Genomic DNA, 16,544 nt, shown 5'->3' with positions numbered 1-16,544 from the left:
TATTTGCCGGTTTTTGTTTTTGTTGCATTAACTTTTGAGGTCTTAGTCATAAATCATTTGCCTAGGTCAATGTCCAAAAGTGTTTTTTTTTCTAAGTTTTTGTCTAGATTTTTTATATTATCAGGTCTGATGTTTAAATCTTTAATCCATCTTGAATTAATTTTTCTATATGGTGAGAGATAGGTGTCCAGTTTCATTCTTCTACATATGGCTAGCCAATTTTCACAGCACCATTTGTTGAATGGGGAGTCCTTTCCCCATTGCTTATTTTCGTTGACTTTGTTGAAGATCAATTGGTTGTAGGAATGTGGTTTTATTTCTGGGTTTTCTATTCTGTTCCATTGATCTATGTGTCTACTTTTGTCAAAGTACCATAATGTTTTAGTTACTATAGCCTTGTAAAATAATTTGAAGTCAGGTAATGTGATGTCCCCAGATTTGTTCTTTTTGCTTAGGATTACTTTGGCTATTCCAGGCTCTTCTTTTATTCCGTGTGAACTTCAAGATTGTTTCTTCTAATTCTGTGAAAAGTGATGTTAGTACTTTGATAGGAATTGCACTGAATCCATAAATTGCTTTGGGAAATATGGACATTTTAATTATATTGATTCTTTTAGTTCTCCTTGTAGAGACCGTTCACCTCATTGGGTAAATATGCTCCTAGATACACTTTTGTGGCTATTGTAAATGGGATTGAGTTCCCGATTGGATTCTCAGCTTTACTGTTATTGGTATTTAGAAATGCTACTTATTTTGTACACTGATTTTATACCCTGAAGGTTTACTGAAGTTGTTTATCAAGTCTAGGAGTCTTTTGGAGTGGTTTTATGGGTTTTATAGATATACAATCATGCCATCAGCAAACAAAGATAATTTGACTTCCTCTTTTCCAATTTGGATGCCATATATTTCTTTCTGTTGCCTGATTACTGTGGATTTTCACTCCTAGGATTGTCACTTCTATGTTGAACAAGAGTGGTGAGAGTGTACCTTCTTGTCCTGTTTTAGCTCATAGGGGGAATGCTTTCAACTTTGTCCTAAGTGGCTCTTATTACTTAGAGGTATGTTCCTTCGATGTCTAGTTTGTTGAGGTTTTTTATCATGAAGGGGTGTTGCATTTTATCAGTTTTTTTCCACATCTATTGAGATAATCATATGGTTTCTGTTTTCAGTTCTGTTAACATGGTGAATCATATTTATAGATCTGTGTGTGTTGAACCATTTTTGCATCCCCGGGTTAAAACCCACTGGATAGTGATCAGTTATCTTCTTGATATGCTGTTGGATGGGATTTGTTGGTATTGCATTGAGGCTTTTTCCAGTTGTATGCACCAGGGATATTGGCCTGTAGTTTTCTTTTTTTGTTGTGTTCTTGTTTGATTTTGGTAGCAGGGTGATACTAGTTTCATAAAATGCTTTAAGGAGGAATCCCTCATCTTCGGTTTTTTGAAATAGTTTCAGTAATATTGGTACCAGCTCTTCTTTGTGTATCTGGTAAAATTTAGCTATGAATCTCTCTGGTCCTGGGCTTTTTTTGTTGTTGTTATTTTTGTTAGAAGACTTTATTACTGATTTGATTTTATTACTCATTATTGGTCTGTTGAGGATTTTTATTTCTTCCTGGTTCAATCAGGGGAGGTTGTATGTTTCCAGGAATTTTTCCAGTTCCTCTAGGTTTTCTAGTTCAGGAGCATAAAGATATTCATAGCAGTCTCTAATAATCTTTTGTACTTCTGTGATATCAGTTATAAGGTCACCTTTATCATTTCTGATTGTGCTTATTTGAATCTTCCCTCTTGTTTTCTTGGTTAATCTACCTAGCAGTCTACCAATTTTGTTTATTCTTTCAAGGAATTAACTTTTTATTTCATTTATCGTCTGTAGTATTTTTGGGGGTCTCAATCTCATTTAGTTTTTCTCTCATTTTGTTATTTCTTTTCTTCTGCTAGCTTTGTGTTTGGTTTGTTCTTGTTTTTCTAGCTCCTTTATGTGTGATGTTAGGTTTTTAATTTGATATTTTCTTATCTTTCTGATATAGGCATTTACTGCTATAAATTTTCCTCCTTGCATTGCCTTCACAGAGGTTTGGGTATGTTGTGTCTCCATTTTCATCCATCTTAGATAATTTTTTATTTCTGCCCTAATTTTATTGTTTACCTAAAAGTCATTCCAGAGCAAGTTGTTTAGTTTCCATGTATTTGTATAATTCTAAGAGTTTCTCTTGGTTTTGATTTCTAATTGTATTCCACTGTGGTCTGAAAAGACACTTGATATAATTTCAATTTTTTCCAGTTTGTTGACACTTGCTTTATGGTCAATTCTGGAGGATGTTCTATGCACAGATGAAAAAAATATATATTTACAGTTGTTGGTAGCATGTTCTATAAATGTCTATTAGGTCCATTTGGTCTAGAGTCCAGTTTAAGTCCAGAGTTTCTTTGTTTATTTTCTACCTCAATGATCTGCCTAGTGTTGTAAGTGGAGTCCTTCTCTTCAAACATTATTTAACTTTTCTTGAATGTTCTTTACCATAGTTATGTAAATTTTCTTGCCTTACAATTCCAACACTTGTGTTCTATCTGAGTCTGGTTCTAATGCTTACATGGTTTCTTCAGATTATGGGGTTTTCTTCCATTTATCATGCTTTACAATTTGACGCATTGGGTAATTAGAACTGAGGTAAATGGGCCTTTAATGTGAAGATTTACATTCATGTGGCTAGAAGCTGGGCTTTGTTTAATGTTTGCTGTTGTTCTGGTGCCAGAGGCTGCAGCTATTATCCTTGATTTTGTCTCTCCTCTTGCTTTGGGCTCCTCTAAAAACCCTTCCTTAGACAGACTGTGTGTCTTCCAACTCTTTCAGCTGTAATTCATTCTTATTATTCATTCATATATTATGTTGGTGCGGTGGTCAGGTGTGTTGTGGGGGAAGCATTCTATAATCTTATGATTAAATCTCAATCTGTCTGCATCTCTGGGCTGTGACCTTCACAAGTGTTTTTCCAGTGATATATCTTGTTTTCCCAACTGACATGAGACCGAAGGCTAGAAAGAGTAAGAGTAGGAGGAAAGTCCTTCTCTGTGGGATAAGACTTAGGTAAAGTTTTTTTCTCCTGGAGACTAGGTCTGCTTTATACAGAACAGTCTGGGAGTATTTCACAATGTTTTCTCTTCCCCTTCCCCTGCCAAAACTGTAACAGGAATTTTTTTGGATTATCATCATGAGAAGCTGACAAAATTTCTAGAAGTAAACCTAGGACAGTTTGGGAGTTTCCTCAGATTGTAGCCCCCAGGAGTTTCTCACTCTCAAGTTAGTCTACTCTTGGCCTCCAGCAATTCATTAGAAATGCCATTTCAGTGTTCCTCCCAGCTTATGGATCTAGCTGCTTCTGCTCTGTGTAAATAGATCTCACCTGTGACTCTCTAGACTTACTGCTTTCTCTGGTTTTCAAAGTAGCAATTTGCCCTGCAAATCCAGTTCTCTACTAAGGCCAAGAAAAGCCATTGATTTTCCTTTGTTCAATTTTTTCTTGTTTTAAGTATGGAAGTGACAACTTCCAAGCTCTTTAAGTGTTGGGACTGAAACTGGACGTCTCCATTCAATGTTTTAGAGAAAATTTTCAACACCAATTTGACCAACATAGTTTTGCTTTGTTTTTGAGACAGACTCTGGCTCTGTCACCCAGGCTGGAGTGCAATGGCATGATCTCGGTGCTCTGCAACCTCCGCCTCCTGGGTTCAAGCGATTCTCCTGCCTCAGCCTCCTGAGTAGTTGGGATTACAAGTGTGCACAACCAGGCCTGGCTAATTTTTGTATTTTTAGTAGAGACGGGGTTTTGCCATGTTAGCCAGGCTGGTCTCGAACTCCTGACCTCAGTTGATCTGCCTGCCTCAGCCTCCCAAAGTGCTGGGATTACAGGCATGAGCCACTGAGCCTGGCCTGACCAACATCTTCTTAACCTGTAGTCCATGGATCATCTGAAACTGCAAGGAAATTTGTACAGCATACATATGTGTATTTCTCATAGGTGTCTAGAACTTTTATTAGATTCTCAAAGTAGCTGATGACTTTAGAAAGCTGAGAACAATGTAAGAGAAAATAATCCTTTTGTTCTGTGTGTAAAAATACAGCTCAAGTCCCCAAGACAGGAGTAACAAGTAGACATAAGGCACATCACTTATGCTTTCACTAGGATATCTTTGATTAATGAATGTAAATTCTAAAATAAAAGGCAGTATCTGCCCTACATGTTTAGTTTGTGAAAAGTTACCTTTTCATCAAATAATTTTAACAATACAATTTGCAATTTTGTTTTAAGTAAATTTATCCGAACAGAGGCAAAATATGTTTTTTTAAGATATGGCATTTGAAAAGCAAACTTGTGTAGATGTAGGGATAATGCATGATCTAAGACAAAGAATGATGATTTTTAAAGAACCTTTCTAAGAGACAAAGACTTAGCTGCTTCTGTTCACATAACAGAGGAAGCTAACAATTAATTTCAGATTCGATGCTGGAAGTACCTCTCATGCTATATGCTATATGCTATACAAATACTATTAGCAATAAAGCATCAAGATAAAAGATTACTTTTAATTTTGTACCACTGTGTAAATCATTGTACTTATTTTCCAGGCTGATTAGATAGCATTGTGAGAGAAGGTGAAAAAGAAGCCTATATGTGAACATTAAATTAATGTAACTTTTTTTGTAAAAAGAACATTATGGTGGTAATATTACATCCCCAACTCTGCTCTGTCATCTCTAGCAGATAAAAAGGAAAAGAAGTCCCACTGTTTACAGGGAGAAGATCCTGTGGATAGTCCATCACTATTTTGCTTTTGCTTAGTATTTTACATTATCATCAGACTTCCTAACAGTAGTTTCTGAAAGATGAAAGTGGACTCTCACTGAGAATTTCACACAAATGGATTAATTTGCGCCGCCATTTTTGGCACGTTGCCATGGATACAGCCATCCGAAGGCCTCAGTGCAGCTGCGAGTTGATTGACGGTCCATTCACAGTGTAAGGCTTTACAAAACCAGTCACATAAAAGGACACTCATTAGTGGACAAAGGCCTTATATACACATTTTGGTGATGCTTCCAAGGCTGAACATTACCTCTCAGTAAATCTGACTTTCATATCAATATCACCAATGAAAGTTGGAACTATACCATGAAAAATATATATTCAAAAATACTGTGGAGTTAACATATTTATTCAATACATAGCTTTATTTTGCTTTCATTCAAATCTAGCTAAAAGAAGGTGGAATAAAACACAAACCAAAAAGGGTTTGTCTTATAAATTCTATATTTTGTTTAAAAAAATCAAAGAACAAAAAGTTATTTCTCATTATGAACCTACAGACTGGTGTATGCTTAGATTAACAAAGGGAATAATTTCTGCTATTTACTATGGAATGGGAAAAAAAAGAACAGGCTTTTGACTTCTTTCTGCCTTCTGCATGGCATAGTCCATTGGGAAGTATAATGTTGACATTTTACATTGTCACACACCCAAGTGTGTAAAGATATAACTTTATTCCTCTGTACTTAAACTTAGCCCATGAGACTGTTGGTAATAAAATACCTTCTTCTTATTTATTCAAGGTAATTCTGTCAACTCTGGTAGAACACTCTGGGGTATCTCCTCTACCAATTCAGGATGCATCCCACCTTGTACCTCTGATTTTCTTCTCCCTGGTTGTAATCTGAGTTCCTCAGGTGCCTTACGCATTGTTTTGCTATCAAAGTAGAGAAGACTGTCTTCTATGGTCACCGCTGACCCACTGGCCCCTACAAACCTGTTTCTCTGGCCTTGAGCAGTGGCCCCGGTCTTGTTGCATCTTCTGCTGATAGTGATATCACCACACGGCATCCAGCTGTTAGGTCCATGCTCCGCTGTGATCCTCTGCCTCCATGCCAGACCTTGTGTCTGTCTGCTCAGCCACTTTTCTGCACCTCTCAGAGTGTTCAGGAATGCCTGTGTGCTTTTCCCCGAAACTCTGGGAGGCTAACCTCAGACTTGCCTGCATAGACATCTCAGCACCTGGGAACAGAGAAAGAAGGCTTTTAGCTAAGTGGACACAGAGAAATTTTGTCAAACTCCACTGAATCATGACTAGCTTTGACTCTTCATATTGTGTCTCACCCAATGAGTAAACTACATGTGAAGTTGATTTTGAGACTTTGGTGTTACTTTAGCTATGAGTCTCTCTTTACTTCTATCAAAGGACCAGAAATAACAACTCTTTCAGAACTCTCATCATTCAAGATTCCTGCTGTTTTCCTTGAATCCAAATCAAAAGACATTGTTTGGCACATAACCCATGTATAATAAAAGCTAATCCATCAACCTGACAGACAGCATAAATGAAAATTAGACCCTACTGTCCTCTCCATTGCTGATAGATTCAGGAGGATTTACTATTCTTCCTTCTCTTTTTCAGTTAAGTTGGGCCAAAAAAATTTTTAAAAAATCAAAATTTCAAAATTTTGGAACTGCTTACTTAGAAATATTTTAAGACAAGTCAAAATCAAAATTTTAGAACTGCTTACTTAGGAATTTTATGTGAATTAAAACTTTAGCACCTAAACGAATCAGAACACCAATGAACTGTGGAATGAGGAAATATTTGCACACGTTTGTACAGGTGCATCCTACATGGAAATGTTCTTTGTTAACACAGTCTGGTTAATCTCTCCTAAAGCAATGAAACTGGGGAAAAATACAGTGCATTACATATGGGAATAAGTTGTGCAGGTAATATGTGCGGCTGGATGGGATCGTGTCATAAAATAAATCATCACATAAAATCTTTACATTTTGTGTCTATTTTCCATGTCATTATTTGCAAATTATCTATGCTAATTACTTGGGGGTACAGAAAGACCCTGTGAAAGGGCTGAGGGGACACAGCCTAGGAATGTAAGCCATGTAAGCTAGAAGGAAGAACAACTAATAAGGAAAAAATAACAGAGAGCCCCTCAAATGGCAAAATAAAGAAAGATACTTTGTCAAAAGAGAGCAATTACCAGGCAGTTCAGAGAAGTATAGAACTTAGTTTTTAATTGTCTTATTTGTATCTGTTGTAAAGGCCTTTCTAGTTTCCTTTTGGATAATAAAGATAATATTAGATTGACTTTTCTCTGTATTTGTATTTGAAATTTAATTGTAGCTAATTTTCAGATGATGCTTTGATCAGGAAGTAATAGAAGTGCCTTTGTATTCAGTTTTCTGTGAAGTCTCAACTCAAAACCTTCAAAAATGAAAAGTAGACAGAAAAAAATCTAAATTCTCAAGCCTTAAAAGTATTAAATGACAATAAATAAAGGAAAGAATAAGCAAACATCAGTTTGGAAAAAGTCATTTAATTGACAAGAAGCGTTGTTATAGATGGAGCGGTAGTGGCACAGGGCGTTTCTTGGGTCTTATTTGGGCAAATATATGCAATTAGGAAATGAACAAATAACCAAATTGTTCTTAGAAAAGGTTTAAGCAGTCTTTCATCTTAGTAAACCCACAGTTTGAAAACATCTATGTGTATCTTTTTAAAGTCTTGGTTCCTTTTTCTTTAGTTCTTTTCTTTTCTTTTCTTTGGAGACAGCTCTCACTCTTCACGCCTGTCACCAGGCTGGAATGCAGTGGCGCAGTCATGGCTCACTACAGTCTCAACTTCCCCAGGCTCAGGTGATCCTCCCACTTCAGCCTCTCAAGTACCTGAGACTACAGGCATGGGTCACTACACCCAGCTAATTTTTTAAATTTTTTGTAGATACAGGGTTTCGCATGTTGCCCAGGCTGGTCTTGATCTCCTGGGCTCAAGTGATTCACCTGCCTTGGCCTCCCAAAATGTTAGGATTATAGGTGAAAGCCACTGCACCCAACAGTCTTAGCTCATTTTTCTATTTAAGCCATAAAAACACTTCAAGCAAAATAATAAAAAAAATATAAAGTCCTGGGGGAAACGTTACACATTAAAGATAGAAATATATTGATCTAGATTATTGTAAGCATGTGGGTATATAAATACTGATTTTACTTTTGGAAATCTCTGATTCTTTTCACCCCCAGTAAAGCAAGATTTTAGTAAATATGTTTTTAAATCTATTTTTCCAAATGAAAGTTATGATACCTCTTTTTCTAAGACCCTGTGTGTCATTTATTAATATAAAACTTATTGGTTTTTGGTTGCACTCTCAATCTTGACTCTTCAGCATCATTAATTTATTAAGAATGAACATAACCATGTTACTGGCTGTCATTATAATTTTAGAGAAAATTATAAAATGTTAGCCTGGCTAGATGGCAATACACTCATAATTTAACAGCAAAGTCTAAAAATTTGTGTCAATAATACAATACATTGTAAATTAGCTAATACAACTTTATAGTAACCAATTTTTATGAAAATCTTTAAGTTAAAAAATTAAAAATAGCGATATTAAAATGCCTTCAGCCTTAAAAAGTTAAGAACAACAAAATCTTGTCAGAAATGCCAAATTTATATTTCAGAGTACAATAATATACACACAACACATATAAGTGGAAAATTTGACATTGATTATTTAAATGTAATTATCTGTAAATAATTTGAATCTTTATCTTGGAGCTTATGTTCTATATATAATTCTATTATCTGCCACAATTTATTCTTAATTAGTTGGCTTTATAACATTGAATTACATAGTTTATTTTTTTCTATACCAGTTCTGTTTTTCTTCTTATTGATACAGTAATTAAAAAACAAACCAGCAAATATATTTAGTCCAGGTATAGTAATATGAGTTAACTTCTCCAGAGTGGTTCCCATGTACCAAGCACTTTGCTACACGCTTTATATTCCTTATCTCATTTAAACCTCACAGCACAACTATAACTAGGCACTGTTAAGTAACATTTTGCAAATATGCAAACTGAGGTAATAGGTTAAATAATTTTCCCAATGTCTCAAGGCTAATAAATGGCAGCATAAAGACATTAATCCAATTTTGATTATACTCACCACTTTCAGACAGTATTTTTCAATGTTTTTAGAACCTTCTTGTATTTTTTATTTTGTTAATATGGGTTTATTGCTTTTTGATGAAGTTTCTATAAATCTGATTTAGACTAAACTAAATATGAAAGTTGTTTTCTAGTCAATTAAGATCAAAAGGCAGCAAGGAGAATTTTTAAAGAGGTATTAAGTATTTAGGAGCTGAAATTAGAAGAAACGTAAGTGTATAACACGTGGGCAGAGAGTGAACTAAATGACAATGAAGGAAACAAGAGCTTTAAGCTTCTCAGACAAGTTATGTACTGCCTCATGTTACTCGAATCCAGCAAAATGCTTATAACAACCCTCACTGAGGGAACTCTATGACAGTTTGCCCTAAGAAAATAGATACAAAAAACACAAACATAATGTCAGCCAATAGAAAGTAATAAAATATTTTTAATCATAATAGCAAAAGAGGAGAATGTATTCGAGGAATAAAAAGATAATTCAATACACTAACCTAATTTTGAAAATAGTAACAAAATCAAAAGAAAAAACTCTAGAAGATCATCTTCACAGATTTCACAGAATAAGCCACTGAGAAAATGTAATATTTTCTCATAAAAACTATTAGTAAACAAATTTTAAAAATTTCTGAACATGATTTTTAAAATCTGTCTCAAAGCAGCAGAACTATTTTTCTTAAAAATAGAATCCAAGGAATGATGCCATTGAAGTATGAAAAAGACAAGGACCATCACTATACTCACTCTTACCTTAAATTACTCACAATATGCTGGCCAATGCAGAATCAGGAAAAATAAAGGTCACATAAATATTTGAAAGAAGGTGATAAAAAGTATCATCATGTGCGTATTATATTATGTGCTGCCAGGAAAACTCAAGAGAACCCATTGAAAAACTTTCATAAATAACTAAAGAGATTAGCGACCAACAAAAAATTGCATAGAAGTGAATTTTTTATGCTAATTTATTTAAAAATTGTTCTAAAAATTTAATGGCAAATAGTCCTGATAAAAGTAGTGCCTTAGTTCAATCGAGCTTGTATAACAACATGCCTTAGACTGAGTAATATATAAACAACAGCAATCTATTGCTCGCAGTTCTGGTGGCTGGGAAGTCCAAGATCAAGGTGTCAGCAGATGTATTGTCTGATGACAATACGTCTTTTTTGTAGTGACAGGGTTTTCCTGTGTTACCCAGGCTGGTCTCAAACTCCTGGGCTCAAGTGATCCACCCACCTCGGCCTCCGAAAGTGCCGGGATTCAGGTATGTTGTGAGCCATCATGGCCAGCAGTCTTAGTTCATTTTTCTGTCTAAGGTGTCAAAAGTACTTCAAGGAAAAGAATAATTAAAAACATAAAGTCCTAGAGGAAAAGTTACACCATGTTTTCTCACATATCAGAAGAGAAAAACAAGCTCCCTCAGTCCTCTTTTGTAAGAACACTAATCCCATTCATGAAGGTTCTGCCCTCATGACCTAGTACCCTCCCAAAGACCCCCCCACCTCTTAATACCAACATTGGAGATTAGATTTCAACATGAATTTTGGAGGGACACAAGCATTCAGACCATAGCAAGTAGCAACAAGAGACGAAATACGTAAGTAGAAATGTGTAGGACTTAGATGAAGAAAATTAACTTTATGGAGGGATGAAAAATGCATTGAGTAAATAGAAAGACCATGTTTATAAAAAGACAGATCATGTTTATATGTGAAAATATTCAACAGTATAAAAAGGTATGATTCTAGAATTGTAATGCAGTATATCAACTATTAACCTGAGGGTTTTCTGGTATTTTCGTTTGTTTTTGTTTCCTTTCTTTTTTATGCCAATTAAAAACACTTGATAATTCTTTGTGGAAGAAATAATTGGACATACATTTATGTGAACTGCTATACAAGATACTGAGAATAAAATAATAAATAGAAAACATACAGTCCCAGCTCGTGGAGTTTTTCTTTATGGTGTGAGAGAGAAAAATTTAAAAGTACACCAAAAACTTACAGAATGTAATGCATAATGAGATTTCTATTCTAATAGGCCAAACCTAATTAGATAATTAAGGTCTCTCCGGGAAGTAATCCTTAAGCTATAACAAAGACATTTTAAAGATAGATGCCTACATCTGAAAGACTGAAAATCTGCATAACATGAGTGATGAAGGGGATTGATAATGTTTTCCTCTTTAGTCTACATGTATTATTTAAAATTTCTATAATAAAGATATAAATTTCTAAGAAAATAACACATTAAATTAGTTTTTAAAGCAACTTGAAATTAAGGACCATAGCTTTAACATTGGTGAATTTTTCTAGAATGCCCTATATGTATTTAAGCCCTGGGCTTAATCATCTGTGCATTTCTCCAGTGTGAAAAATGTATTCAGTCAGTGAATGAATATAGATAAAGACAATTGAAACATATTTTCTCATAGTCTATGATTAATGTTCCTTTGTTCTTTATTCACAAACATATCCAGAGTACTTTGAGTAAAGAAATAGCTACAATCTTTATTTCAGCAATTTATATAATCATGTTTTATTTATATATAAATGGGATGAAAAATGCAGAACATTACTACTTATCTGACTTTTACAAAATATTCTATATAACTGCTTGACGTTAGTCCAAAAGTAGTCTCTGATTCAGTCTGCCAGCAGAAGAAATGAGTCAGATTGCTCTCATAATTATAGATAGCTTTTTAAATAAATGTCTGCTGGATAGCATTCCTACTTACGAAGCCACAAACATGCATAGAAAACCTTTTGAATTCATTTCTCTAAAATTTCAGGAAGATATGGTCAGTGGAATAAACCTTTCACAAATTCGAATACATTAAAAATGAGTATTTATTTCTAATTTTTTGACCAATATGCCCATTTGTCTATTTTTTTCCTTTTAAAATACGGAGAATTGAACATATTTCCATGCAAGAAATGAAGATAATTTTAATAAGACTTTTGATACTTAAATATACTTCATACTTTAAAGCTTTACAATGAGTAATCTTAAAATCAGTGTAACTATCAATAGATTTTTTTACAATTTACTTAATACACAAAAACATCCTAAATCTGAAAAATATACTTTTGTAAATATTGTATTCTAATGCCTTTCAAAAGGTGTAGTTAAGTGATCATTTTTACAGATGGTGAATTATTTAGATTTTCATATTATATTAACTCTTCAAATATAATCTCCCATTAAATAGCACATAATGCTTCTAAATGAATTTGGTGGGTAAAATCCATGAGACACTACAGATCAAATGAATTTCAGCATTAGAAATGCACAAGCCCATCAAAGTTCTACTTCAAGGACTGTTCTTAAGAGCAATAATTGGCAAGTGGTATGAAAGTCAATTAGAAGCTTCATGAGCAACTAGGAGCCAAAGCCTTGTGGTTTTGGCTCAGATATCTCCCAATGGAATGTCCATTCCAATCCATCATGAGCAGGATTCAGTTTGTTTTACCTGACACTTGTATACTTCATCAAGGGAAGTGCTAATGAGCAAGCAATCGCTTTTATTTCAAAATATAATGCTTATAAAGGGTCAGTCACTGGTAGCTCTTCCAAATGATCTCCAGTACACGAAAAGAGAAGCCAGAATAAGCAATACAAACCTGTTGCCCCTCCAGTGACCTCTATCTTGAGTTAGAGTTACTTCCTGATGTAGATGTTGGAGATGGCTCAGTTTGTATGTGACTTTAATCCAAACCAGCTCCCTAAAATGAGGTGAAAAAAATGACGCTTTAGATCCCAAAGAACCAAAGGAGGGGTAAGATAGAATGTGTGCTGCTGCTCAATGTGACTCACTAGTACCTTGTGTGGAATTTTAGTTTTCCTCTCTTGTATATCATGGGCTCACCTTCTGATAGTGAAGTAGAGGAAAAGACTACATGCCCTTTATATCCAGAGTCAAATATCTTCCATTCACACTGGCAGTAAGAAAGCTGAACAAGGAGCAACTATTTTAGTGGACAAAAGAATTTTATATATGAAAAATTTACTGCCAGCAGTTATCCCTTAAGGTCTGGAACAAAATGTGTCTTTAAAAATCTTGGTGCCAAATGGGATAGAAGGAAACAGCTGGCAAAATGAGATCATGAGCATACAAGAACTTGCTTGGGGTGTGTTATTAAATTTAGTGATACCTTGGTTTTCATCTATGATATAGATGCCAGCTAGCCTATCTTAGCCAGTGTCCAAATAAATAGATTCTCTGACGGTCCTGGCATACAACTTGTACCTCATCTGCCTAAGCTTTCCAGAACACTGGGAAATTCGACACTAAGCCTTCAACCACAAAGATTCATAGAGGGTGTGAACATAACAGTCATGTCATAGGTATTTGTTCAGTAAACTTGGACCGAAGTTTATCCCCATTCTATTTTTCATTTCCTCAAAGATCTGATGCAAAAAAAATGGGGATAGGAAAAAATCTCTAGCGGCATTCATTTGAATCATCAAAAATGCTAAGATAATGGAGAAAAATAGAAAAATTCTAAACCTATCTCAGTCTTTTTTTTAGAAAAAGAAAGGTTTATCACAGTTATTTTATTAAGTGAAATATTTTCAAAAGCTATATTCTGAAAGAAGTCACAATTTCTCTTCCTATCCTACATGATAGAAGACTAGCTGTATAGGATAATGAAGAAGTAAATGCTTTGCAAGTATTGTAAAGAAGACTTGTAAGCCTGAGAGAAGGTTTCAAAGCAAGAGATGAGTGCTTTCAAAAAATAGCCAGTGAATCCATTTTGATAAAGGAAGGATAGACAAATGTGGACAAGAGTAGTAAAACAGTACAGAGAGCTTGAGGAAAATTTAGAAAGAATGAGAAGATCTTTAGTAAGTACTATAATAGAAAGTATTAGAGGTTTGTGGAATTTGAGCATTCTCTTAAAAACAACTGAGGAATCGAACTAGATGAATCTGCATTGATCCCTTTCTGTATGCCAGCTGCTCTGCTAGTGTCCATCCCCATGAGGTGTGGATTACTTATTAACCCACACTGTGAGATGTGGATTTAATTTTCACAACCTCACCGTGATATACGAATTTGTAACCCATTTTACATGTGAGCAGATCAATATTCAGAGTCAGTATCTTGCCAAAAATCATTGTTATTAAAGATTAGATTGATAACCATGTCAGTAATGGCCAAACAAAGCAGTATGGATCCAGAAGAAAGGAAGGTTAAGAAAAATGTGAAGGAGTAGAAGCAGCACCAAAATTTGAATTAAATTAAGGCACTGGGCTCCAATTCAAGTCATGCTGAATTCCCTTCCTTCTCAAGAAAGCACTGTGCTTTCTGGCTTCCGGACTCTCCCTCAGGATTGCTCACCTTGCCTGGAAAACCTGCACCTTGCCACTTTCTCCCATGCAGTTGTCTTTGCCTACTAACTCATACTCACCACTTTCTTCAGAAGGCCTAGGCCAGCGCCCTGAGTAACGTGGAGCTCCCTTAGGCTCCCCCAGCACTCTCTCTATGCTTGTCTCAATCGCCACACTCACGACTCCATGGCTTCATGTCTCCTATGTGTCTATTTATCCCTCTGGGCCATGAGCTTCTTGAGATCAAGAATTGTCTTTTTCACTTTTTTAACTGTGAAGCTTAATGGGGCACCTGGGACATTTCCTCCATGGTTTCCTGGTAACACGATGGCTTTGCCCTTTGAAGGGGAATGGAAAAATATGAAGAAACCAACAGTTCAGGCAAGTTATATTGGGGGCTTGATGACACGGTGAGGTAAGTGAAGAAGTTTTTGAAAGACTGACTGACTGTGCCTCTTAGATCTTATTCATTTGGAAGGGACTTTCCATTACACTTGAAATGAAATCCAAGTTTCTTACCTCCCCTATCTAGCCCTATGTGATCTAGCCCCTGCCTGTCTCTCCAGCCTTATCTACTATTTCTCTTCCTCTCATTATCTGTCTTCCAATCCCAGTGGCCTCCTGGCTATTTCTGGGACATACCAAACTTTTTCCTACCTCAGGCCTTTATAGGGCTGTCTTCATTTTAACATTTAGGTTACTGTGTCTCTCAGGAGGAATCCAACAATGACAACAAGTGAAGCGTCTCCTGCCCACCTTCAAGCATTTTCCTGCTCTTTCAATGTCTATTAGTCTCTAAATTTACACCGCTGTTTGTGTGATGATTTACTTTCTTTCATCTCAGTATTGGAATTTTAAGCACTGTGAGGGGAGGTTATGGTCTTTTTACTTTGGAATCCCCAGTATCTGGCACATAGTACATGCTCAATAAATATTCCTGAATAAGTGAATACATTGATCAACCACCCTGTGCTTTTGCTATGCATTATCAGTGGGAACGGATAAACATGAAAATAATAGCTAATATAATAGTTAATATATATTAATTTGCTGTATTCTTAGCACTTTCCTAAGTGTTTCATATGTACTAATATATTTAGTCTTCAGAAAAACCTATCATTATACCAATTTTACACTTAAAAAACTAAGGCACAGATAATCTATGTTGTATAATATGCCATACAGTGTAATACAGATAAAATATAATGTGAAGATACATAAATAACAGCCTTTGGTTTTCTAGTTTGTCATCTAGCATATGATGTCATTTCTGAAATTAATTCCCTTTTACTTCCTTTTAGCCTCTCATCTTGTAGGAAATTCTTACTCTTCCTTCTGGATTTAGTGTACATCTTGCAACCACTGAGTAGTTCATGTAAAGTGTCACCTACAATATTAGATGTGCAACCTCGTTGCCCCCACAGAGCTTTCTACATAATTGTGTTAAAGCTCATAGCACATTTAAATTAAAAATGTGTATTTACTTGGCTGTCTCTCTGATTAGACAGAGCTCTTTGAAGGGAGGAATATTGTCTTTCTGCTTCCACTATCATTAATGCCTATCACAGCATCTAATATAGAGTAGATTCTCAGAAACTGTTTATTAAATTAATTGCTACCATTGTTCATATGCTGAGAAATTTTTTAAATTGCTTGTTCCTCCGAGCTTAAGAATCCAAGTTTTTACCAGTTAAATAGGTTTTTTAAATAATTCATCTTGAAATAAATATAGCTTGGTAAAATAATCAGATTAATTCAGACACGTTTCATATATTAATCATGTCAGAAACAAGTGTCCTGCAAACCGTCTATTGGCCTTAGAAATGTACATAAACTCAACTTGTCCTTAGCCATGTTATGAAGACATACCAATTGGGTTTTGGATTCCCTTCACATATAAGCAGTAGCTCACTTGCCTACAACTTAGGTCACTCTGTAATATTCACTTAGTTCATTCTAGATAAGAAAACCTCTAGCAGTTCAGCGTTGGGATTTAATTAAGCAGATAATCTAAAACATTGGATGTTTTATTCAATCTTAACTGAATAATCCAAACCTCTGGAGTCTACTATATATATTGGGCTCAAAACTTAGCAGGAGAGGTATTCTCATAATATTTTTCAACACAATTTCTTTCTGCCTTTAGCCAAAAATAATGTGAAAGAGATCTGTTGACAAATTAAGGTCCAAGCTTGGA

At 35.2% G+C, this 16,544-nt stretch overlaps 1 long non-coding RNA gene across 3 annotated transcripts in view; it reads right to left on the bottom strand.

Annotated features, from left to right (window-relative positions):
- LOC124900817 (uncharacterized) overlaps positions 1–16,544 on the bottom strand; it is a 140,808-nt gene that overhangs the window by 65,080 nt on the left and 59,184 nt on the right. The window contains exons 1-2 of one of the 3 annotated variants that reach the window (XR_007058376.1): positions 12,637–13,548; positions 5,811–6,055 (exon numbers count right to left, since the gene is read on the bottom strand). This is a non-coding gene — a long non-coding RNA (uncharacterized LOC124900817). Of the gene's footprint in view, positions 1–1,694; positions 6,056–12,636; positions 13,549–16,544 lie in introns of those variants that run through there. The other 2 variants (XR_007058378.1, XR_007058377.1) reach the window with 2 other exon arrangements.

This window comes from Homo sapiens, chromosome 4, assembly GCF_000001405.40.
Source record: "Homo sapiens chromosome 4, GRCh38.p14 Primary Assembly".
In the NCBI taxonomy this organism is placed as follows: domain Eukaryota; kingdom Metazoa; phylum Chordata; class Mammalia; order Primates; family Hominidae; genus Homo; species Homo sapiens.
This window is presented reverse-complemented; position numbering and strand designations above follow the sequence as displayed.